Here is a 27,663-nt window from a genome sequence, read left to right as displayed (position 1 = left end):
GTACCATTTTATCTGACAATATCTTTATTTCCTCTTTCTTTTTAACAGGTACTTTCACCAGATATACAATCTAGCTAGTCACTTCTGTTTTCTCAACATTTTGACAACACTCTCACACAGTATTCTGGCTTCATGAGTGAGGATTTATGTGTTTCTGGCCAGTGCTCAGAGATTTTATAAACCCACTGCCTGTTAAAAATGAATTTATTTCAGGGGGAGGGGGCTTACAATTATAACAGTTTGGGCCTTCAAACTTCAAAATATATAGAACAACTATTGCTTGTAAATTATCAGGAAAAAATTTTGTTTGCTTGCTTGGTTTTGTATTCTTGGTTTTTGACTTTTTTAATGTCCTTTTTAAATCTACCCAGAGATGTATAATGGGAATGGATGTAGTATCTAACTGAGGAACAGCATTCTTGGGCTTAGAATTTTACTCGTGGTTTCCTATTACTACATAAATGAAGGTTTTTAAAATATCCTGTGGTCCATTAAAACCTAAGATTTTCAACTATGAGACAGTGGCAAATGATTCCATACTGCCCCGACTTTTCTCTTCACTTACCAGCCTGGACTTTACTCGTGGTCTTTAAAGATTGACCATCTTTTTTGCCAGGCCAGCAATACATTTAAAAGTGTATTTTACAGCATTTAATTAGGCATTTCTGATGTTTTATGACATGACAAGAGCGTTTTCAGAACATCTAATAAGCCATGTTGCTGGAAATTGAAATCTCCTTTTTTAGTGCATTTAAAAAATATTTTACAATAAGCAGTAACTCTATTGCCCACCAAAATTAGTTTTGTGTTCTATGCTCAAATACTTATATTAAAACGCTGGTAAATTGAAACAAATGCAATTAAATTTTAATGTGAGAAAATTGGCACAATATTTATTATAGTAGAATAATACCAAATTGTATCTAAAATAATTCAAATTTTAAAATATGTGTATCTTTGTGAATAGGCAGATTAAGATAAAATAAAAAAGAAAGCTTATGAGAATCTGAATACTAACAGATTCATTATTACATGATAGTATAGATTATGCTTAGTCTTTAAACAATTTTATACTTTCAAAATTCTATGTAATGAATATGTATTAGATGAGAAAATTTTTAAGAATCCCTCTCAGAGGTAGCCACAGAACCTGTATATATTAACAGAATATTTACAGATAATTTCAAATAAACTCTGCTTTAAGAAATGTCTGCACGTGGTTTGCAACATAGCAAAAAAGATAAAAAAAAAAAACATTTACTTTATTTTACTTCACTCTAGTAATACAATGGTCAACACTCACACATCTATATAAGAGCATGTAGGTATGTCAGCAAAAAGGAGGAAGTAGAGGAAGCAGATAACATATATAATAAGAATATAAATGACAAAGCATAGATTATGAGATAGGGAAGAAAAGAAGCTGACAGCTAAGTGTGGTGTCATTTTGGTAAAATCATGACTTTCATAAACTGTGTAGAGTAAAAATTAGACTTTTTTTCTGATAGTTTTCTATATAATCCCTGCCTTAAAGGAACAAAAAGTACCTTTAGGGAGAGGTTAGAAACTGACTTATTTAGCCCCCAGAAAAAGTACTGGATGTAACTTTCTTTATGCATAAGTGTAGGAAGCTGTTTGAGTGAAGGCATGTGTCTGATTTTGTGCCCTTCGGTAAGTATGGTGTGTATATGTATGAACTCTCAGGACAGTAAGCTTTATTAAAGAATGTTTAATATTCAGGCCGGGCACAGTGGCTCACTTCTGTAATCCCAGCACTTTGGGAGACTGAGGCAGGTGGATCACTTGAGTTCAGGAATTTGAGACCCACCTGGGCAACATGGCAAAACCTTGTCTCTACAAAAAATACAAAAAATCAACTGGGTATGGTGGTCTGTGCCTGTAGTCCTAGCTACTTGGGAGGCTGAGGTGGGAGGATCACTTGAGCTTGGGAGAATGAAGCTGCAGTGAGCTATAATCGTGCCACTGCGCTCCAGCCTGGGTGACAGAGTGAGAGAGACCCTGTCTCAAAACAAACAAACAAACAAACCAAAAAGAATGCTAAATATTCATCAATCTGCCTATCTTATTTTTCTTCTTTTGTCTTGGAGAGTTTTCCTCTTGGCAAGTGAAATATTTTACTGGAATTTGGCATTTTCCATGTATGACCTCATTTGACAAGGTTTGAGTTGATGATCTTTCGATCAGTTTAAAATATTCCTTTTCAGATGGCATTTTTGTTTTATAAGAGCTATTTTAAATTATTTATAATATCGATAACTAAAAATTTGAATGCCTCAGAATATTTTACTAAGTTCTTTTATCCCAAGGAAATTATTGTATGCATACTTTTATGCAAATTGAAATAATAAACGTATTAACTCTCTTATGTAAAAAACCATGACTTCTTTTTCTCCATATCTACTGAGAAACCACTAAGAGGAAATTTGCTTAAATTTAGGCAAGAGAAAATTTGAAACAACCATATTTTGGCTAGAAACTTTGTGAAAACCTGTAATCAATTTTTGAAAGAGACTATGGAGACAAATGGATTTATTTGCTCAGTAATGCCTACTATAGCACACTGTAGCTTTGGGAATTGAATAATCATTTAACTGAAAAATAACTGCTTACTCATGCTGAAATTTTATTATATTTGAAAGGTTAAAAGTATGCAGACTTTCCAATAAAATTACGAGTTCATTATTCTGTAATCTTATAAATTATCAACACCTTCAAGAAAATAATATTGTTAGTTACATGTTTGGCCATTTCCAATGTATCATAGAAAAATATGCTTATCCAAACGTGGCCATTGATGTTGCTAGTAATATTACTGCAACAAATTTTCATGGTGATATTAACTTTGACTTTGTTTAGCACTGTAGAATATACCGAAAACACCTCTGCAAACTGTTAGTTCCAGGTAGCTATAGTTAATGCCTTAGTTAAAGTGCCCATAGATAATAGCCATTTTGGACTAGAGAAACAGCCCATCAAATTCTTCAGAAAACAGACTGCCATTAGGCCTAATATTTTGGGGCTAAAACCAGAATGATTGTGAGGTTATAATAGGAAGAGGAAATAAGTAAATAAGGACAACACAATTCAACAAGAATACTTACGAAGCTCACACGAGTTGATGTGGAAAAGTTCACAACATCTAGACTAATACAGTCAGAAGGGGATTGATGATGCCGCAATATAGTAAGTAGATAAAAATCCTTAGTTACTAAACATTGGAGGAAATATTTTTGGAAGGTATTATGAAATCTAGAAGTTTATGTCATCCTTTTATATACTCAGAGTCCTCCACAACCTCCTTTTTAAATGCATACCTAGAGAGAAGTCACTCAAGCGTTAAAAAGGAGATACATGGAGCTTGCCTATATCTGGCTATGATAAAACAACCGACTCTGGGCTAATTTGTTCTCTGTATATCACCAGACAAAACCAACATTACTTTCACCATGTAAATGTGTAAATTTGCAACCACTCATCACAATAGTTTAATGGGGCTTCTGGTAACACCAATGACCACCTTTTGATGACAAACTATAAAACTGTACAGATATATGAAGCAATTATTTGTAGACTTTGTTCAAGAGGTAGAAAAAAATTATGATCTAAGAGAGAAGGAGAATGTCCCAGGTAAGTCCTGCAGTTGATCTAGCTTTCTGCCTTGGATAAAACTCCCCAACATCAGCAAAAGAAACACTAGAAACCAATAGGCAAACTACTCCCAGAACTCAGACAGATTTGGGGATAATTTGTGTTCACAAAAGAGAGGAGAATTAGTACGAATGGGGCTTTTATAGATTGCCTAAGAGAACATTGGGTTAGTAGCGAGACTAAATTAGCCTTAGAATAAAGGTTTCTTTTAGACCCACCATAATAAACCTTAAAAGCAAAATGAAAAGATGTACCTGATATAAAATAAACTAATTGTGCACAAGAATAAATTCTGAAAACTGTAGAAATATTTAATTTTCAAAAATGTAAAACTTATAATATCCAACACCCAATCAAAAACTACCAGATATTCAAATAAGCTGGATAAAATTAACCATATCTAAAGAAAAATCTATCAACAGAAACAGACTAAATAACAAAAGACACAAGAAATTTAGAAGAGGAAGAACTATACATATGTTAAAGCATTTGAAGGAAAGCACAAATGAAATAAAAAGAAAAATGAAGACCAAAAAACACAAATTGAACTTCTAGAAATAAACATATATAAAAAATACATGGAATGAAATTAACAGCAGATTATATACCACAGCAGAACAGGTCATTGCACATGAAAACATAGAAATATCCTAGATGAAGCATAACAAAAATAACAAAGAAAGAAAAAAAAATCATAGCCCAAGTGATCCATGGGATAATATCAAAAGACCAACATATATGTAATTGGAGTACCATGAAAAAAAGGATGAGGGTATTAAAATGCTTTTAAAATATAACTGCCAGCATTTTCCAAAATTGATGAAAATTTTAAACTCAGATATCCAAAAGCTCAATAGGCTGTAAGAAAATAAACTATTTTTTTACACAAAAGAAGGCAAAACCTAACCAAATGTCTGAATCTAGTGACAGAGAAAAGTATTGAAATATCTGAAGAGAAAAGACATGTGCAGATAAAAATCACAGCAAAATTCTCAGAAATAATGAAGGCTAGAAGACAACAGAGCAGTATTCTCAGTTTACTGAAATGAAAATATTGTTAACCTAGAATTTTCTATCTCATGAAAATATCTATTCAAAGTTAAGGTGAAAAACAGATATTCCAACAAACAAATCCTATGAGAATTAACACTAGCAGGTTATTACAAGAGATACTAAAAAAAAAAAATCCTTTAGCCAGAAAGAAAATGACATCAGAAACAAATTTCGATCTACATTAAAAATGACAGCAGCAGATGAACAACCAAAATTATAAATATGTGCATTAATATTTAATATTTTTCTTATTATGTAATCTCTTTAACAGATCACATTTTAATGACACACACTAATGTACATGGCATTTGTAACAAATAAAAACAGTGTATATTACAACATTGAAGAGAGGATGGAGAAGTAAATTTATTATACAATGTGTACATTTTTTACACTATGTGGGAAGTGCTATAATATTTGAATGTAGACTACAATAAGTTAAAAATTTATATTTTATACTCTAGAGCAAGGATTAGCAAACTACATCCCACAGCGAAATCTGGCCAAATCTTGTGGCCCTAATTTGGTCATACCTATTTGTTTATGTGTTTATAGCTGCTTTTGTTCTACAAAGGCAAAGCTTACTGGTTGTAAAAGAAATGATGTAGCCCACAAAGCTGAAAATACCTATATTTTACAGTTACAGAAAATGTTTGTAAAGCAACCACTGAAAAAAAAAAGAAAAAAAAAGAGGAACATATATGAATAATAAAGAAAAATGTAGTTATAAGAAATAGTACTGTACAAAGAGGTCCCAAAAGCAGGGGGTTAGGTGGGTGATGGAGAACAAAAAATAGATTGAACCAATAGAAACAAATAGTAGGTAATCATTTTAAATAGAATTATATAAATAATTATGTTAATACTCTAAGAACTCCAATTAAAAGTCAACATTATCAGACTAAATAAAAATGCCAAAGAAAAAAATGGCTAGAGAAATAAAAACATATGACCACATAAAAACGTGTGCATAAATATTTTTAGCAAGAAGCCAAAAATGCTAAATGTCCATTAAATAATGAATGTACAAGCAGATAGTAGTATTGCTATTCAATGGAATATTACTCAACAATTAAAAAAAAAAACAAAGAAATGACATATGCACTAACATATATAATCTCACCAATGTCATGCTAAGTGAAAGAAGCTGACAGCTGGACACAGTGCCTCACACCTGTAATCCCAGCACTTTGGGAGGCCAAGGTGGGCAGATCATGAGGTCAGGAGTTTGAGACCAGCCTGGCCAACATAGTGAAACCCCATCTCTACTAAAAATACAAAAAAAATAAAAATTAACCAGGCATGGTGGCGGGTGCCTGTAATCCCAGCTACTCAGGAGGCTGAGGCAGGAGAATTGCTTGAACCCAGGAGGCGGAGGTTGCAGTGAGCTGAGATCACGCCATTGCACTCCAGCTTGGGTGACAGGGCGAGATTCTGTCTCACAAAAAAATAATAATAATAATAATAATAATAGAAGCAGCAGCAGCAGCAGCTGACACAAAAGACTACAAACTTTTATGCATGGTTCAATTTATATAAATGCTAAAATTGGCTAAGTTACACTGATGGAATAGAGAATAATGGTTGTGCTTGTGGTAGCGGGAGAAGTCGATTGTAAATGTTGACAAGATAATATTGTGGAGTAACAGAAATGTTCCATATGTTGATTGAGATGGTCATTGCACAAATGCATATTTTTGACAAATTTATGAGAATCTACACTTGAAGTTAATGACTTTTATTTGATGTAAAGTATATTACTCAACATTATACTTAGTAAAGAGTATTATTATTCTCCAATAGTAATATTACTCAATAAATACTAGTATATTCAATAAATATACAAGAATACTCAGTATTAGTATTCAATAAAGAGTAATGTTATTCTCACTAAAACATATTACAATTGATTTTATTATTATAAGTCAATAAAGCTGACTTAAATATATGTATGTAGTGAGTGGGTAAGTTACTATTTTTAAAAGTCAAAACCCCTCCATAGTATTAGAAGTCAGGGTGGTAGGTAGTGACAGGAAGTATAAGAGGGTATTCTGAAATGTTGGTAATACACTGTTTCTTGATTTGAGCACCAATTATGTGGATGCTTGGAGTGTAATGTCTGTATATTTTTATACAGAAAATGTCTGTATATTTTTCTAAGTGTATATTATACATCAATAAATTTCCAAGCAGAATATAAGCATCAGCAGAAGAAAACTAAAATATTGGAGTTTCTTAATGGGCATAAGTTGTCTGAACATCTGTCACAATCTTTAGTCTTTGAAGGGGGCAGTTGAGAGAGAATGATAAATATTTATCTATATGAATTTGCTATTAGCCATCCTAAAGTTTCTCTTACAGTCTTGGTAAAGGTAGGTTTGTACCAGATGAACCATAACAGATAGTTTCATTCATGATTCTGGTTACTCCAGTAACAACAGTTAACAACAGTATTTCTTGCTGAAGCAATGTGTAATCATCTCAGTCATGCTTGAATAATTTTAAGCAATAAATGAACACAGCATTAAATAGCATGGTACCACAGGGTACAAAAGCTTTCTCATACACTAAGTTCAATATTTCTGATTAAATGAAGACAAAAATTATGTTTGGTGTGCTTAGCAGCTAGTATTCCTTTTTATCAGGGGGAAAGCAAGCATTGGGTCCTGCTCCTGGAATTAAATATTTTTATTATGCTTTGTTTACACAGTAACCTTCTATATATGATACCTGATAATAGTTTTCCTACCACAGATATCATTGTAAACTTTCCTTTTGAAATAATTTTTTAAAAATAGTTGGGAACTTCAAAGATAAAAATGAAATAATAATGATATAGTAGCATGTTTGTATTACATATGTCACTTAAAGCTGTGAATAAGGAGAAATCAACAAAAGGAAAAGAATTGAGACAGGAAGAATTTGGTCAATAATCCTTTCTAGCATATCGAATGAGCACTATAATAATCAATAGTGCTTCAGGTTGGGGAAGATGGGGCAATAATTTCTTCTGTTCTATATTTTAAGTGACAAATAGATACATAGATAAACAGATAGATGAATCACATGACACACTCTTATAACCTTTCATAAAATCTAACTTTTCATGCTCCAAAATAGGCCTTGTCATTAAATTTGTTGCTGTAAAAAAATTAATATTTCTCCAGGAAAAAAAAAACGGTACTGTAGGTCAAAGTCTATTATTTCCTGAATACTGCAGGGACCACAGAGTTGACCGACCCTTAGAAATGAGACTTTAAATCTTCTGCGATCAGATGGGCCTTAACAAATCCCCTTTCACATGGGAAGGAGTGAAGAATCTAATATTCCCAACTGTAACTCCCTGACTTTGAGGCTACAGAAACATACTTTAATCAATAAAGGAAGTATATTTTCCCTTGAAGATACCATCTCTATAACAATACAGTGCTAAGGGTGACAATGTTTTCTGCTTGGTCATTTTCTGAATGTAGCACCACTGACAGGATGACCATTTAACTCTTTTGCTATTTATTTAAGCAATAAATCAAGAGATGAGCACACTGACTTCCTGAAAACTTTAAATTGACCTCCTAGTGGCTCCATAAGCAAAAGAAATAGAATGAACAATAATCAGAAGACTGAGTCATCCTGTAGAGAAAGCTTTCAAATACAGTGTATTGGCCTTATTTTCCTCCTTAGAGCTATGTGGTCTGATGAAAAACAGACAGGTGAATTTATCAGTAGAAGCTGTCTAAAATTGTTCTTCAGGGTTGTGATTTTTACTACTTACATGCAAGAGGAAGACATCTAAATCGTGTATTTATATGTTTAAGATAACATCCCTACTTGGGCATTAAAATCAGCAGATTAATATATCATGCTTTTGCTTGCATTTCTATTCTCAAACGTAATGGCTCAGCTAAGTGCCTTCTGTTTTTATTCATGTTTTCAGAATATAAAACTGATGGCTGGGTCTGTCTTGGAATGGTATGCAAATTTTATAAAATCCAAACATTTGAGAAATGTAAACACACTTGTATTGACTGAGGACAATAACTGAGGATTGAGCTCTGGTTTGAAATTTTTTACAAAGTACTTCATAGTTTCAAAATCTGTTCATGTGCAACATTTCCTTTAATCATCACAACCCTGTGAGGTAGATATTGTTATAATTCCTGATAAATGGTGAACCTGTAATATAGGTAGTTATTTCATATAGTTTTAACACAGGGTAGAGCTACCTATATACCTCAGATCTGTTTATTTGGAAGACGTTTTGTGAATACCTATTTTGTGCCAGATACAATGTTGTGTGATAGAAGAGAAAGAAAACTAATGCACAGTGCCAATAGCAAGGAGACACAGTACAGTGGAGAGAGAAGCTAACTTCTCCAAATACAATATTGTTGTTAGCCAGAACGTAAGCCTAGAATGTTATGAAAATATATAAAATGCAGGCCTCTGATGCAGTTTAGCAGTGTGTGTTGGGAAGGACTACTAAAAGTTAATTAAATTTTACTGACCAATGAGGCTTAATTAAGTAAAGAATTGCACAGGGTATTCCAGGCAGTAACATCAGTATTTCATAACAAACAGATTTCTACATGATCATGGGACTAAGAATTCACCATTGATGCAGGATAGCTGGAATACAGGATCCAACAGTAGAATGATAACAAATGAAACTACAGATGTGAGCAGCCAAATTATGAGAGATCTTTATATATTACACTGAGGAGGTTAGATAGCAGCCTGAAGGCAAAGGGAAACCATGGAGACATTTTACTAGGAAAATATTATTATATTTGTTTTTACGAAAAAAAAAATCCCTGGCAGCATTTGTGAAAATAGTTTAGCAAAGGGACAGACCTGGAGGTGTGTAGATTAGGTAGGAGAGTGAAACAATTCAAGGCCTCCATTAAGGGCAGTGGATACACTAAGAAGAAAAAGGGGATGAAGATATTAAGGTGAATACAAAACACTGGACAACTTAGTTTTCAGACTTGACCAATTAAGTGGATACTAAGCATGAAATGTTGATGGAGTTCAACTTCAAATGTGTGTTCAATGGGATGGACATTCAAATGGATTTGAATACATGAATCTAGAAGCCCAGACTAAAATTACATTTTGGATCCATCACTATTTACATAACCAAGGAGACAGGATTAAATTAATCAGACAGAGTATTAAAACGAAAACCAAAAATAACTGAAGGCAATACTCTGGGCAAGCACATGCAAAGGAGTCTGAGGGGGAGGGAAATCTGTGAAAAAGGCAAAACAAGCAAGAAAACAAATCTGAACAGTTTTAAGTAGGGTGGAGTGGTCAAAGGGATCAGGTATTACAGTAAAAGTAAGTTACTCTACATAAAGGACACAGTGGAGACTCTGGTGATAGCCCTTCCAGTGAGGAGGTATGAATGATGATGCCATGGCCAACCAGATGGATTTCTGTGTGAACCACAGGTGACAAAGTGAAGACTGCAAATGCAAACAACTCTTTCTGGAAACTTGGGTATGAAGGAATGAATGGATTCGTCTAGTATATAAAGGAAACAGAGCTAAAACCTGGACTCAAGCAGTCTAACTCCAAATTCTTATGTTCCACTTTTTCTTTTTTTTTTTTTAAATGATGATTTATAAACTATTAAGATAGTTTTCTTCTAAGCTGATTAGTTTAGCTGGTTAGAATTTGCAGCTAATGAGGTGAAAGTTCTTTCCATGATAGCTCATACTCTTGGCCCTGGGTGATGGCCTTACAAATGTGTACCTTTTGACTGAACAGAGGAAATGAGGAACTGTGGGTGGCTCAGAAACCTCATTATCATCCTGTGCAAACTATAGGTCATCCATCAGTAGTATCCTCTTTGCATAACAGGATGGGGTTCTTAATGATAGTAGAAACAGTATTAAGTTTTCAGAGACTCTAAATGCAAAGACAAAAAATATGCTGTATTCCTGTGTTTCTATTCAGACTTGAATAAAAGCAACCTCCTCCATGCCCCAATTTTCATAATGACAGGGCTAGTCTTAAGTAACAGTGTAAAGTATTGAATGTTACTCTCTTCTTATTCCATTGCCCTTCAGTTACCCAAATTCCACATGCTATTCTGGCCATACTTATTCTAAAAATCTCCTTCAGACATTACATATTGATTTAATCTGTCCTTTATACCAGGCATAAAAGTACTTTGAGTCTGTTAATGATCAGCACCATTCCTGCCTTGAAGGCACCTGCAGTTTCCTAACAGAGAGGGGAAATGTGATACATTCTACCTGGCATACCTTTCTCTCTCAGCTATCTTGAAACTCCCACACATGCTTACACTTTGTGTTTGGGCATCACTTCTTCCTAAGGCGTTTAATAATATGGACAATAGTGGGACCCACCCCTCTTCTGCTCTCCCCTACCACCCTTGATGCATCTCCTCCAGTAGAGCCCCAGCCATACCCTATAACTAAGCCTAGTTAATTGTCCACCCTCTCTTCTAAGCCGTGGTCTCCTTGGGACAGGTACTTTGACTTGATGTTTCTTCTTCAGAGCCTAACCTCATGCAGTGCAATTCCTGATGCATAATTATGGAAAGCTTGTCATAAATATAAGTAACTTTAATACAATAAAAATGTGTCACAAGAAAATACGAAGTGCTTTAAGAGGTCAGAGAAGAGAGTATAAGGTAACATTTGCACTGGGTTTAAAAAAATCATTAAAATGTGAATGTGCAGAAATGGAGTAAGAGAGGTATTCGAATGTAGAGGGAGCTCATAAGAGCTCTCAGGCATGATGTGAGAAGAAAAGCCAAGGATATTAGTCATCTCTGGCTGCCAAAACAAAATATCATAGATTGGGTGGGTTAAACAACAGACATTTATTTTCTCATGGTTCTGGAGGCTTAAAGTCCGAGATCAGGATACCAGCATGGTCAGGTTATGGTGAGGGATCTTTTCCTGGCTTGCAGACAGCTTCCTTATTGCTATGTCCTCAGGTGGCAGAGAGGAAGGGCAAGTTATCTAGGGTCTCTTTTTTTTTTAACTTTTATTTTACATTCAGGGGTACAAGTGCAGGTTTGTTACATAGGTAAACTTGTGAAACGGAGGTTCGTTGTACAGATTATTTCATCGCCCATATATTAAGCCTAGTGCCCATTAGTTATTATTCCTGATCCTCTTTCTCCTCCCAGCCTCTATGCTCTGATAGGCCCCAGTATGTATTGTTCCCCTCTATGGGTCCATGAGTTCTCATCATTTAGCTTTCATGTATAAGTGAGAACAAAAGGATACTAATCCCATTATAAGGGGCTCATCCTCATGACCTCATATAAGCCTAATTATCTCAAAAAATCCCTGTCTTCAAATACCATAAAATTAGGGCTCAGGGCTTCAACATATAAATTTTGGGGGACACAATTCAGTCCATAGCAGTCAAGAAATAAGACTGGGAAGAGCAGTTAGAATCCAACTCTGGATAATTTTGTATAAAAATCTAGGATTTTGCTCATCCATGACCACAGTCACATTCAGGATCTCATCCCTGTAGCTGTGAGAATAGGAAAGTCTTCACATTATTGTAATGTAAGAGAATTATAAAATTAACATAAGGCCAGGCTTTGATCCTAGTAGAAAATCATTTTTAAATTGAGCATTTTAGGAACTCATAATTCAACATATGGGACTTTGGTTCAGAGATGACCCACTTACGGATGAGGATTTTAAGTCAGGAAATCATGACTTTTCCGTTGGTGAGACTAGTATATGACTTCAGGAGAGGTTAGCACCATCGTCCAAAGGCTGTGTACTGGTCATCAGTGGGTGGAAATCCTCCAATTCAAAAATTCACGGGCATGTGGTATTGGCAGAATCTCACTGGCAAGAGCACAGTCGTCTTTAAAACTATTCACAGACAGCAATTATAACATTGACTCCAAATGTATAGGGCATGTCTTGTTTTACTGATGCCTGAAAGCTTTTCAAGAGTTTCTGTTTTGAGTCCCATTTGAACTTAAGTGACTTGTCTGGTGACGTGACTATCATAAAACCCTTAAACCTGGAATATGGTGCCTCCAATACCTATGGATCCCAAGCAGGTATTTACCCACTTTTGTTTTAGGTGGTGGCTCCGAGTCCCACAGTTCACCAAAATAAGCTGGAGAAAGTCACTTTGGGCTGCTGCCCGTATAGTGTTAAGAAGGTTTTGGATTTTTATCCTCATATTACTCCATCTTTAGCTGACTGCCTGTAGATGACATGCAAAGCAATGCAAGCTATTTCCTTAGTGGAGCCACTCTAAAAATACCATGAATATTCATCTGAAATTCTTTCAAGATACTGCCAGGGGAAAAAAAATATGGGAAGTGTAAATGAAACAAAAATGTCAGAATGTTGATAAATGTTAATATTAAAAATGTGCATGTTGATATTATAGGATGTATATATGATGGTTCAATATTCAATCTTTCCATTGTGTGTATAGTTAAAATTTTTAAACCAATAATGTTTTTAATAACATGTTTGGATTCCAATGAGTAATTCATATTATGCTAGGGTTTTCCTAACCACTGATGATACATCGCTGGCTGAGGATTCAGGACCTTGATTTTGCACTGGGTTCCTTAGTAGGGAATGGCAAACTTATCTTAATCCTCTTTGTGAAGGATTGTGGGGGTTGAGGAGAAAGCTGATGCAAGGCTGTATACCAAATGCCTGTAACAGACACACTTGTTAAGTCACCTTTATGATATATGCCAATATGGAACAGAGGGCACTTCTCTGTTTAGTTTTGGCAGTCCACAGTGAAGTGCCAAATATTAGTGACTTTTTAAAAGTGTTTCAGTCAGATAAGGTCGTTAAACTGGGAAATCACATTGCATAATATCTCTGCCTGCATTAAATCTTTTATATGGAAACTAATTCATTTTTCTACTCCTGGAAAGCAGGATTGTTTCCATTGCATGGCTGTAGCAAGTTTTAGGGTTACACTCATTTCTTAACAATGCCTCTGGTCAAATGTAAAAGGAGCCATCAGGGGGGTGATAATGATTTCATTCAACCACCCTGTCCTCTCACTGGAGCTGAATTTAAGGAACTCAGAAAGTCCAAATTGATTATACAGTCTAACAAAAGAACAGCAAGTGAGTCCAGATGAAAAAGCCAGCAACAGCTGTAGAAGCTCCAATATACAGTAAGGCCTTATATGAGTCTCCCTTCACCCTTTCCTATAGCCTTTCGGTGGGGAATGGGAAGTAGAGTATGGCATAAGAACCCAGCCCTAGCTCTTCTCAAATTTCTTGCTGAGCTTCTCCCCATATCTCCCTAAATCTGTTCTGCATATCTGCAGAGGTTATGACTTTCTCTGTGTTCCCATATACCTTCCTGATCTGTAAGCAGTTGCCATAGAATAAGTGTCTGGCTGTAAGTATTGACCCTGCATGCAAGTGCCATTGTTGTATTTTTGCTGAGACAGGTCTCTTTTCCCTGGCTACTGGCACCCTTTTTATTGTTTGCAATATGGTTTGGCTGTGTCCTCACCCAAATCTCATCTTGAATTGTACTCCCATAATTTCCACGTGTTGTGGGAGGGACCCTGTGGGAGACAATTGAATCACAGGGGCAGTTTCCCCCATACTGTTCTCATGGTAGTGAATAAGTCTCACGAGATCTCATGGTTTTATCAGGAGTTTCCACTTTTGTGTCTTCCTCATTCTCTTTTTGCCTGCTGTCATCCGTATAAGACGGGACTTGCTCCTCCTTGCCTTCTACTATGATTGTGAGGCTTCCCCAGACACGTGGAACTGTTAAGTCCAATTAAACCTTCTTCTTGCCCAGTCTCGGGTATGTCTTTATCAGCAGTGTGACAACAGACTAATAAAATTTGTTTGTTTGGTTTTACCCTGAGGCTAATCTACTATTCTGGAATTTCCAAATGATCCTTTTTTATTTCTGGGTTTCAGTGGTCTGGGAAATCCATAAATATAATAGCTCATGAATACAACCACTGAGGTGTAAGGGCATTTTAGAATAACCAGTGACCTGGTCACTCTAAGTCTGCTGTTCCTCACAGGCAATATAATTACCTATTCACCAGCCTTCTTGGTAATCTGCAATCATCCAATCATTCCTGGGAAGATATTTCACCACCAGCATAGTGCATTAGAACTCTCTCATCTATTCCTTAAAACCATAGCACCATAAAGTGTTGTATGTCCATTGTGGTCAGCAATGGTAATAACATAAACATAAAATAAACAACTATGTTACTGGTTTATGTATTTACTATACTTTTTAATTTCATTTTAGAGTATACCAAATATATGCTAACTGTAAGACAGCCTCAGGCACGTCCTTTGGGAGATATTCCAGAAGGCATTGTTATCGCAGGAAATGACAGCTCCATGCATGTTTTTGCCCCTGAAAACTCTCCAATGGGACAGGATGTGGAAGTGGAAGACAGTGATATTGGTGATCCTGACCCTGTGTAGACCTAGGCTAACGTGTTTGTGTCTTAATTTTTAACAAAAAAAGTTTAAAAAGTAAAAAAAATCTAAAAATATAAAAGCTTACAGAATAGAGATACAAAAGCACAAAACATTTTTGTATAGCTATACAATGTGTTTGTGTTTTAAGCTGTTATTATAAAAGAGTCAAAAAGTTAAAAAACTTAAAAGTTTATAAAGTTAAAATGTTAAGTAAAGGTTAATTTACTGTTGAAGAAAAAAATATTTTCAAATAAATGTAGTGTAGCCTAGGTGCACAGTGTTTATAAAGTTTGTAGTAGAATACAATAATATTATAGGCCTTCGCATTCACTCACTGACTCACCCAGAGCAACTTACAGTCCTGCAAGCTGCATTCATGGTAAATGCCCTGTACAGGTATATTATTTTTTATCTTTTCTGCATCATTTTTACTGTACCTTTCCTATCTTTAGATATGTTTAGGTATGTCACTGTTGCTACAGTGTTGCCTACATTTACTGTACCTTAGATATGTCACTGTTGCTAGAGTGTGGCCTACATTTACTGTACCTTAGATATGTCACTGTTGCTACAGTGTGGCCTACACTAACATGCTAAACAGGTTTGCAGCATAGAAGCATTAGGCTCTATCATCTAACCTAGGTATGTAGTAGGCTAAACCATCTGGGTTTGTGTGAGTGTACTCTATGATGTTCACACCACAGTACAATTTCTTAGAATGTATTATCATTATTAAATGACATATAACTGTACTGCAGAGAAATCATAGAAGGGAGTGCAAGCTACTCTCTTGGGATAACGGAATTTCCTGACCACTGAGAGTCAGTTGGAATAACAAACTAAGGTAGAGTCAAATCATTCAAATCCAATCATTGACTCCAGGTTGAACGAGTGAGGATAACTGGTATAGTTTATTCTATCAATAGGTGTAGTAACAAGAGGAAGGAGATGGGAGAATAACTTGAACAGTAACAAACTAAATGATTCAATTATGATAAGTGTACTCATGGGTGAAAGAGAAAAAAATCAATGAATTAAAAAAATGAAGACATAAGTTAAATGGAGTTGGGAGAGAGGAATAGATTAAGGCAACCAAACATTTCTTTAAGACTAAAATAATGTCCGAAAATAACATTCATTGTTTATTATTACAAGACCTTAGTCATAATTCTCTATGTGGATGGAATCCTGGGCATGGGCCTTTTTGTGAACCCAATCAGGCCAAGACCTTCAATTACAAAATTGAAGTGAGCCTTCATGATCTTTATTTCTATAGGTAAATACCCTCAGGTGACATTTGCAATCCTACTAATATATAGTATTAGGAAAGATGAATCCAAGTTTCTCTCTAAATTCTAGAGCATCCCTTGCCTTTGGTTCTTCACATCTCCAAGTTTTTATAGGAGAGAAGTCAGGATGGGAGAAATAAAACCTTCCAAGTACAAGATGGTTCCAGGATTGCTTTTGCCATAATTTCTGCAAAGAGCAGCTCATCAACATTTTCCAGTGGAAAGGGCACTTAAGTTTAAAACCTGAAGCACTGGTAGGTACTAGTCAGTGAAGAAAAGGAAGATCATTCCGTAAAGGGGAAGGGTAAGTGCAATTGCCTAGAGGCAATAAGGAACATACTGCTTTTGAACAACTGAAAGAAGTTCAGGGTGGTAGTAATAAATCATGAGTAGTGGTGCAGGATAAGGCAAGAATAGAGGAAGAACCAGACATTGCAAAATCATATAGGTCCTAACAGGGAATTTTGTACCTTATCTTAGGGCAATGAGAAAACATTGAAGGATTCTTAAAAGGATCCTGAAGGCTTAGACGTGTTTTTAGAGAAACATCACTTGGGTTGCAATATAAAAAACTGACAGAAGACGACTATGGCTGGAGTCAGGGAGCCCTCTTAAGAGTTGTGGGGGGTGGGGGTCATGATGACCTCAGTTTCTTTAGTGAAACTAAGGTAAGAAATGTCAACAATTAGAGGGGAAGATTTGCTAAGGAGGAGCAACTATCCTGTTTCTAAGTATCTACCTTTCCTAAAAGGATGAAGAAAATTGACATGGCTTGGCTTTGTGTCCCCAACTAAATTTCATCTTGGATTATAGTTCCCGTAATCCCCACATGTTGTGGGAGGAACCAGGTGGAGATAATTAAATCATGGGAGCATTTTACCCCATCTTTTTCTTGTGATAGTGAGTTAGTTCTCATGAGATCTGATTGTTTCAAAAGGGGCTTTCTCCTTCACTTGGCTCTCATTTCTTCTCCTTCCTGCTTTCATGTGAAGAAGGACATGTTTGCAGTTTCCTCTGTAGTCTCAGGCATTTTACACTTAATGGTCAAAGAAATGAGAGACTTCACTTAAGCTACTATTCTTCAAATTCTTCAATCTATTGTCTTCTGAGAAACACTCCATGGAGGATAGGAGAAAGATAAATATTAGGTTGTTGCTCAACTATTATTTAAATAATAAGCATCAGTCAGGATGGACTGGTTTATATTGTCAAGATGAACAAACCCAAAACGTGGGAAGCTTAACATATCAAAATGTTATTTCTTATTCCTGGTTTGTGTTCAGTGTGGGCTGATGGGGGTTGCCGCTCATCACAATTGCTCAGGGAGCTGACATAGTAAAGCTTCATACTAGCATATGCTTCCCAGTTCTCAGATCACTACAGAAGTGAGAGGGGACATGATGAATGCCCTCCTTGGCCTTTAAAGGATCCATCTGGAAATGATACATGTCACGTCTCTTCACATTTTGTTGTCCAAAGACAGACTTAACTTCAAAGTATGATATGGAAGCCATGGGGCTGGAGAGTGAAAAGCTATACATTTGGGGTGAACATCACTAAAAACCACATAAAATATCTTGTTTCTTATTGACTACTGCTTCTTCTGTGCATGCTCACATGACTGAGAAACTTGGAGCAGAAAAAAAAAGAGTAGGTTTCAGTGAATAGAACCCCACCACACTCTTGTAAATACATGAAAGGTATAATCAAATGTAGGTGATGATTGCTTGGAGGTCAGAAGCAGGGAGAATAAGTAATCCAGGAAAAGAGTTTCTGTTTTGGAGAATCTAGCAAGCAGTGGTGCCATCTCCAACATGTTAGCCCATGCCCCTGGAGTCTTTCTAAATTCTGTATCCTGTGTTATACTACACTTCCAATATTGCCATATACGATTGCAAATGCTAGAATGGGGGAAATATGTATGACTTTTGGAATTGTGAGACATAATACTTGATAATATATAAAATAAGCTTGAGAAAATGCTTGATAATACATAAAATACTTGATAATACCAAAAACAAAGCAAATATCTTTGAAATATTTCATAACTTTTTTTAACAGATGTAAGAAAATGACCCGTGCCTTTTCATGGAAAGATCTACCATGCCCATGTGAGATCACACTATTCCTCCTATCTTACCAACACAGCCTGTGCCAGCATTTCCCACCTCATCTTAGCCACTTTTTCCTTTGGAGACTATCATAGAGATAGAAAACCCAAGATGAAGAGAAGGTTTAGAGGAGGAAACAAGTTCCAGTTTTGCACAGTTCAATGTAGTTGCCTGTGAAGCATCTGGGCAGAAATAAAAATAGGCAATGGGACATGTTGGTCCAAATCTCAGGGGAGTGATCTAGATTTGAGATACAAATTTGACCATCACCAAGATATAGATAGTAATTGAACTATGGAAGTTAATATTCTTACTTCTTCCTCCACAGCCAGACTTCCGAGTGCCTCCATTTCTCCTGGGGCCTCTTAATAGATTCAAAAAATTCTTTCTTAAAGGAACAACTTTAGTTTTATATTACAAGTCATGAAACAAGATTCTTTCTGTTTCTTATGCATGAATGAGCAGTCAGAGACTGAAACGTTATTGTTTTGAGGTGACAGTGAAGCCCTAGGTGAAATCAGATGGCAAGAGAAAGTATTATCTAACTGCCCAATCAAGAAAAGTTCCAGGATAAATTTTTACTTGAACAATATTTTTTAAGTGTTTAAGTAATATTGAGGATAAATATGAATAAAATTCAAATTTGGCTCATTTAATAAAACTACTATTTAAGAATCATTAATATATGGAGACTAATAAGGATATTTATAACCCTCAAATATTTGGCCCCATATGTCATGGAAGCAGTGTAATCCTCACCACCTCTAGAAGTCTCCATTGGAATACTCACAATTTGCTTGGTTTCAGCTCTTGCCTACATACTTAGGCTTCTTTGGGAAACAGCAGCACTTGTGGGCTGTGTGTGTGTTTGTGTGTGTGTGTGTGTATGTGTGTGAGAGAGAGAGAGATACTAGACCTCCCACCTTTAATATTTCACTAATAAATATTCTATAAATCAATAAGTTCTTGAAGAAAGAGGAGTAAAACTTAGACAAAGATGAAGCAATTATAATACCTTGAACTTCATCAACTTGTAATCATGTCTACTATTTTGGGGGAGGAAAGAGAAATAATTAATCTCTGTTTGACTATTCTTTCTGCAACCTGTCTTCTCTAATAATATTCTCTTACCAATTTATATTCTTCCCTCTTAAATATTTAAAAGCCTTCTAATTTTTTATCCAGTATGTACCTAGGCAGTTTCAGCGTGTTTAATTAAAGGATTTGCCTTACCCAGAGTTTATAATAGGTTTATTAACCACTTCGGAAAAATCTAGCAAAAACAAGTTATTATAAAACACTAAATGGAGTTTCAAATTTAAACTACGTCTTCAGTGTTCCATGGATTTACTGTGAGAATGTGGTTCCTGGGATTAACTGCGGTCTTACCCTGCCACTTAAAAGTAGCTGAATGACAAAAGAGATTTGTGACTATATGGAAATTTAGAGAAAGATTATTGAAACTGTAAAAATGTCTAGAGATTTTTAAAATCCAAATACTACACATATCCCCACCCTCCAAAAAAAAACTATAAAATCACAGGGAAATAGACTAACATAAGGAAAGTCATAAGTTACTGAAAGGCAGAGTTTGTGTACTTTAATCAATGATTTTTTCATATTACTCTGCATAAAATTTATCTTAATTAGAAACAAAATATTTTTCTATTATAAAAGAATATCAGCTTCTAAGACAAACTTTCCTCTCAATAATTGAAAATGCTTATCAAAAAATCCTGTTTATTAATTTTTTCTGCTTTTCTGTTACTAATACTTTTAGAGTACAATCGTTAATTGACTAAGAATACACTCAAGTGTATAGTAATCATACATACATGTTTCCGTCTTTACCATGGGTGTCACAAGGGAACTTGTTTGGGTGAGTTTAGAAATACGATATGCTGGTGGATGTTATTTTGTCTCTATCATAAACCAATAGAGAAAGGAAGGAAGTCATTTGGACTGTCTTCGCAGTTTCTAAGTTTCTACTGGCTACTGATAATGACACATTCTCTTGTATGTGCTGCAGGTCATCTGGCTAAAAGATCCTTTCTAAAACTTGTAATTTTTCCATGATCCCCATGAATCTTTCATACTTTTCTGGGAACCACATTTTCTTCCTGAAAACAAAAAACAAAGCAAAAAGCAAAACCAAACAACACTTCAGGCATATTTACATCTTTTGAGTAATTTTTAAGTGGGCCGTGATGTTTCCTGACAAAAATTTCTCTCAGGTTTTCTGTGTCTGACAAAGTATCTTTTTTTTTTTTTGAAGGATATTTTCTCTTCCTGTAGCATTTTCAGTTGACAGGATTTTTTGTTTTTTGTTGTTTCTTGGATCTTTTTAAAGATGTTGTTCCATTGTCTAATGGCTTGGATTTCTGATGGGAAATGTGTGGCAATTCTTTGTCTCTTTTTCTCTGGCAGCGTTTAATACTTCTTTATCATTTATTTTCAGGAATTTTATTATAGTTTGTCATAGTGCAATTTTGTGTCTATTCTGCTGGAGTTTCTTCCATGTTCTTGGATCTCTGTGTTTAGAGTTTCCATCATATTTGGGAAAGTCCTAGTCATTAATTCTTCAAATAATTTTCCTTCATCTTTCCAATTCCAACTTCTTTGTTGGCTGCTATTTTCCCATTGATAATTGAGTCTCTGTTCAGCTTTTTTTCCACTTTATTTTTACTCTCACAGCTTCATTGTGGTAGTTTCTATTGCTGTGTTTTCGGATTTACTGATGTTTTCTCATGCAGATTTCTTTACATTAAATGCTATATTTTTGATCACCAGAAGTAGTGCATGCCTCTTTTTACATCTTCTATTTATCTTTGTATGTTCATGTCTTAAGTTTTAATCACATTTATTTCAAGTTCCTTTCTGCTAATTGCTTTATTTCTTTATTTGCTTTATTTCTGTCCATTCTAAGTCTATTTTCATTGACTGAATTTTCTTCTGGTTATGGGTCACATTTTCCTGTTTGTTTATGTGTCTGGTGATTTTTTTTTAATTGGATGTTTGACTTTGTAGATGCTCTCTTACTACACAACTTGATTTTACTGTTTTCTTTATAGTGTATGAAATTTCATTTTGCCTGGCAATTATGTTACTTGCAAATTAACTTGGTATTTTTAAGATTTGTTTGGTAAGGTCTCTAGGAGCTTTTATTACAGGGCTATTTTAGCCATACTCTAAGATTTTACTCTTCTGGGATTTTTATTAAATGCCCTGGTATTCTAAGGGGATTTTCCACTCTGGATAAACTTGAATGTATCCCAGTCTTACGTAAGCTTCAGAAATTGACAATCTTTAAGTTTCTCTGTGTTATTTTATTTTTTGCCTAGATTCATGAACTTTCACCCTATATAAAGACAATTTATTATTCAGCAACAGACTCAAGGGGACCCCGGGCAGACTTTTAGAACTATTTTTCTGCATAGCTGCCTCTTTTACAGTAATGAGCTTTGAAAAGTCTCACTGACTTATTTTTCTGAAATCATATCTTTGATACCTCTTTTTTTCTCCTTTCTTAAGGACCATAGACATGTGTTGCTAGTTATCCAATATCTTAAAATAGTAAAAATTTGTGGTTGTATATGGTAGAAAGCAAGATGAGTACTGCTTTTTCTATTGTGACCTCAGTGTCACCAATATCTTCCTATTTCATGCAACATCAACTTATGTGCTAACCAGAGCCTGCACAATGTAGTATTTATTTTTAAAATGCTTTATATTATTTACAACATTTTCAACCAACCTATTGGCCCCCATTATATACAATTTTATGTTTAAGATCTTTTCTGCTCTTACTTGAAGGTATCAATGGACAATTTTCAAACAACAAACAAGACCTATATTCTACGCTCAAATGGGTCACAACTTATTGGTTTGTATGTTGACTAGATATAGTTGTCAAGCCATGCCACCAAGACAAAAACAAACAAACACAAGTTTGAAGGTTTAAGAAAATGAAAACTGTATCAATGGTAGACCTACGGATATTTTTAAATACTTTCAATAAGTTGTAACCTCATTTTCTAAAGTAAAAATGTTAAATATGAATAATTAATAAATTATTAGAATTGATAAAACATTGTATTTTCTCACCAAAAGCGACTTTATGTAAGATTGTTAAATTTCCAGAACACCATGGGCTGGTCCAAATGAGCTGAGATTTAGTGGCCTTATTATATGTCCTCTGAAAAATATCCTCTTCCTCCTTTGAAATGAGGAATTGATTCTTTGTTTTTTAATTTTAGTAGAGCGTACAGGGTTGGAGAGGAAACAGAAATGAAATAAAAGCTGGTAGTAATTGACATTAAAAGAGACCATCCTCTCTAACGCTGTTTTACACAACCCTCTTCTTTAATGACTGTGAAATGTCAGAAAAACATCACAAGTTCCCACAATAATTGAGACAAATTAGGTCCAGGTAAATCACCATTGAAGCAGTATAGTGGCAGTCCTAACTTCCACTAATAGAAGCTTAGGTGTCTGAAAACCAAGACCTTCCTATCTTGGTTCTTTCCTCTAGTCCTTTACATAGTGCTCATCTTTTCCTAAAGGAATCTTTCTTGCTACCTATCCTATTGCTTTTACTGTGAATTCTAATATTATTTCCATATCATGGATGTCCTGGGTTTATATTCAGTAATACCAAGTACTATAAAGAAAAATAAAGGGAAAATATTAACAAAACCTAAATTATCTAGGTACCTCTCTTTCTGAAACTCTTGCTAAGGATCATGAACTCATTTTAGTTTTCATTACCTTTTTTTATATCTATAACAAATATTTTGTTCCATTTTGTTATAACAAAACTGAGTTAAATATATATTTATGTATCGATATCATCGATACATAAATATATATGTTCTTTCACTCAATTAATGTAAACCTGTATCTTGAAGCATTAAAGAAAATATTGTTTTTCTTTCTTTTTTTTTTTGAGATGGAGTTTCCCTCTTTCGCCCAGGCTGTAGCGCAGTTGTGTGATCTCAGCTCACTGCAACCTCCGCCTCCCAGGTTCAAGCGATTCTCCTTCCTCAGCCTCCCAAGTAGCTGGGATTACAGGCACCCACCACCACGCCTTGCTAATTTTTGTATTTTTAGTAGAGACGGCATTTTGCCACGTTGGCCAGGCTGGTCTCAAACTCCTGACCTCAGGTGATCCACCTGCCTCGGCCTCCCAAAGTGCTGGGATTACAGGTGTGAACCACCATGCCTGGCCCATATTGTTTTTTTCTATGTAATTCAATATGTGTTCTTGCCAGATTTAGACCTCAGTAATGTGAGACCAAATGAAGTTCTGGGCAAACTATCTCTTAACTTTTGTGTGGCAATTTTTGGGAAACTCTAGAAATACATGATCTTTTTTTCCCTCTCCACAATTCTACTTTCTATTCTCCAATCTATGACATTCATCTTATTTTAAATAACACATTTACAGTGTTATAGAAGCCTTGTAAGTCTAAAATATTAATACTATGAAATAATGTTTAGATGATGAATTTAGGACTGAAGAGACAAGAGAAAACTAGGGGGCACTAAATAAAGGGAAGCAGAGAGAGAAAACTAAAGACATTTCTAGGTCGAAATATAAAGTATCTCGGGAAATCAGTGTAAGAGAAACTTCAAAAGAAGTGAATATGTATTTTTTCCAAATATTCAGTTTTGCAAAAGTCACCATCAAAGACTTAAGATATAATATTTGATATGCTTTCAAAAATGATCAATTCTTGAAATTACTGAGTTTCTTATGTCCATGAATATCACCCAATGTTTTAGTAATTACTCCATTGGTTTAAACAGCTGGCATGACAGACAGATTGTAGCTACTACAATTTATCATTACTTTATATCACTTGTTCAGCAGTCATATTGGTCAATCATTAGATTAGTAATATAAACAATACAAGTATCTGATAAAGAGAATGTCACCAGATTTGCAGCATTTGGGGCAAATGTAAGGAGAAATGTTGAGAAATATTATCTTACTTTGACAAAACAAAAGGAAAGACAATGTAGGATAAAACTGGAGCTGAATATGGTTTGTGCTTCCATGAAATGAGCTACTAGATATAAAAGAAGTCACCATCGCAAACCTGTCTTGAAAGGCCTTATGAAAACAGCAACAAGAACGAAATAAAAATTACAAACAATAACAAGAATAAAAAAACACATCTAATCAATATCTAGCAATATATGTCACGGCTGAGGGCCACATTTTAGCTGTTGTCTCTTATTGGCTTGCTGGCTGCTCTTCATTTGACCTTTGATCATCCAGATTCATTCTCTGTCATTTCCAGCCTTGCTTTAGCAGGGCTCCCTTTGCTGGGCTGACATCTGGTAGAAATTGACCACAGAGTGGCATTGGAAGATCACAGAGTAGGAGGGGACAGCAAATAAGCAAAGCAGTTCTTGTTGCTTCATTCCTGGTGAAGCAGGGCAGTAGCTGTCAACTTCCCTGTCCACAGAGGAGTCCACAGCTCCTCAGGATTTCATGGGCTCCTGGAATATTGATCTCTCACTGATCCCTTCATCCTTAGAAACAACAAGAGCTTCCAGCTACTGCTGGCCTCAGAATTTTCCCTGGTTACCTTAATGCAACCCACAATTCTGTAAGCAGTCCCTTCATTAAAGTCTCTTAATTTGAACCATCTGGAGGGAGTTATGTTTCCTACCAAGAACCTGATTTATGTAACAGGTATTTATTTGTTATATCCACTAGCAAGGATTCCATTTATGTTTTCCATTGTGAACAATATATAAATATAATTATGTGTGTATTTATATAAACACACACACTTAGATGTAGCTCTCCTGAGGGAATACAGACATTTACTAAATCTAAGAAATTAAGACAGTCAGGTTGATGTGAAACACTGATGTCAAAATCTGCACATAGTTCCTAAAGATACTGAGTTACTGTTTCTGGAATGGAGGTTGAAAGGGCCAACCAGGGTCTTGCTCTTTTCCTAATGCTCAACTAGCCAGAGTAATCTTAAGAGTTCCACAAAGTCATAGCAGACTGAGTTTTGTTGTGTGAGGGTTTATTAAGAACTTTATAGTTATGAATCTGTTAGACTCTTGGATTCTCCTTTGATACAGTTTGGATATCTGTCCCCTCCAAAAATCTCATGTTGAAATGTGATTCCCCAGTGTTGGAGGTGGGATCTATTGGGAGTTATTTGGGTGATGGGTGTGGATTCCTCGTGAAGGGCTTGGTGCCATCCTGGCAGTAATGAGTGAGTTCTCGCTCTATTAGTTACTATGGGATCTGATTGTTAAAAAGACCCTGGCATCTCCTCCTCTCTGTCTTGCTCCCTCTCTCACCATGTGACACACGGCCTCCACCTGCCTTCCGTTGTAAGTGAAAGCTTCCTGAAGCCCTCACCAGAAGCACAGCAGATGCTGGTGCCATGCTTCTTGTACAGCCTGCAGAGCCGTGAGTCAAACAAACCTCTTTTCTTTATAAAATTACCCAGTCTTAGGTATTGCTTTATAGCAATGCAAACGGACTAATACATCCTTATGCTGCTTTCATTATGACATTAAGCCTGTATTTGAACACCACCAATGATAAGAGTAAACTACTCATTTCTAAAGCTATTACTATTTTGAACACTTTTTGCTCTTGGAAACTTTCTCCTCATGTTCACATAAATATGTTTTCATGTAACTTTCCCCACTGGTCCTAGTTCTTTCAGTGACATCCTCTAGATGTCTAACCCCAATGCCACATGATCATCTTTCAGATATTCAAACATGCTTATTCTAATCTTATTAATTTTTTTCAACTTTTTCCAACAGCTTTACAATTTTTTCCATAGCTATATAATTAGACAGCACTTAAAAATAATTTATTTCTATTTCCTCAGCTTTTCTGTCTCTCTGAGAAAATCCCCCTTATCAGCAGAATTAACTTTACAGTTTCCCAATTTATTTCAAACCACCTTGATCTCTGATATGCTTTCAAAACCTGCCTGTGTTTCTGTGTAAGCTCCTCATTTACCTCACATGTTAGAGCAATTAGTCTGCAAACTCACCATGGCTAGAAATCAAATCTTGCTTAATTTGCCATGAATGTACCTACTCTACTATGATTACTCTTTTTCATCCAGACAGGATGATATTCAGGTCCATATAGAAATGAAGAAGTGTTTGGTCTTGTACATTTTTATTTTATCCATTTTTATTTAATCCTAGCATTATAGGGAATATTTTCCAATTAATAATATTGTTTCTCTCCCAGGTACAACTGGTTTCAGAGGTGGGATTCCCACTCTTCAGATATCAGGTTCTGATCCTGCTCTGATGTATGGCTAACTTAACAGACTTTGTGACTTCTTTCCATATTATTGCTAAACACTCTAATAATATCTGCATCAATTTCTTTGTTCTAATATATAAAACCTGGAATAAAACAGGCCTTTATCACAGGAAATATCATTCAAAGATTCATATATTTCCTACATGCTAGGGCCTCTGTTAAAGTTGGGCATATGGGGAAATGGGAACCTTCTGCTTGGTCTGGCTATTAGACTTTTCCCTTAAGTCCCTGGGCTTTGGCTGTGAGACATTTTGTCCTATTCCAGTAGAAATACTTTTAATATTAAAACAAAAATACCCCTGTAGCTCCTATAATGTCCCTATCATTATAAGCAAAAAATAAAAAAAAAAGAAGAGCCTGTAATCCCAGCACTTTGGGAGGCTGAGGCGGGCAGATCACAAGGTCAGGAGATCGAGACCATCCTGGCTAACAGGGTGAAACCCCGTCTCTACTAAAACTACAAAAAATTAGCCAGGCATGGTGGCGGGAGCCTGTGGTCCCAGCTACTTGGGAGGCTGAAGCAGGAGAATGGCATGAACCCGGGAGGCAGAGCTTGCAGTGAGCCAAGATTACGCCACTGCACTCCAGTCTGGGCAACAGAACAAGACTCCGTCAAAAAAAAAAAAAAAAAGAAAAAGAAAAAGGAAAAGAAAAGGAAGAAGTAAAGATGAAAGAGATGTGGGAATACACAGAGTACCAGTCATAGGAATCATAGCATTGAGTGTACGTTTCAAGTTGTGTTTTTACAGCTACAGT

The 27,663-nt window shown here is 35.5% G+C and overlaps 1 annotated feature.

Annotated features, from left to right (window-relative positions):
* Window positions 1,329–1,529: a silencer, noted in NCBI's record as "peak6764 fragment used in MPRA reporter construct". NCBI's record gives its function as "represses an SCP1 promoter by STARR-seq MPRAs in K562 erythroleukemia cells {active_cell/tissue: K562}" and the evidence as "EXISTENCE:reporter gene assay evidence [ECO:0000049][PMID:32103011]".

The sequence above is a fragment of the Homo sapiens genome, chromosome 7 (genome assembly GCF_000001405.40).
Source record: "Homo sapiens chromosome 7, GRCh38.p14 Primary Assembly".
Taxonomy (NCBI): domain Eukaryota; kingdom Metazoa; phylum Chordata; class Mammalia; order Primates; family Hominidae; genus Homo; species Homo sapiens.
The sequence above is the reverse complement of the archived record's forward strand: the minus strand, read 5'-3'. Positions and strand labels throughout refer to the sequence as shown.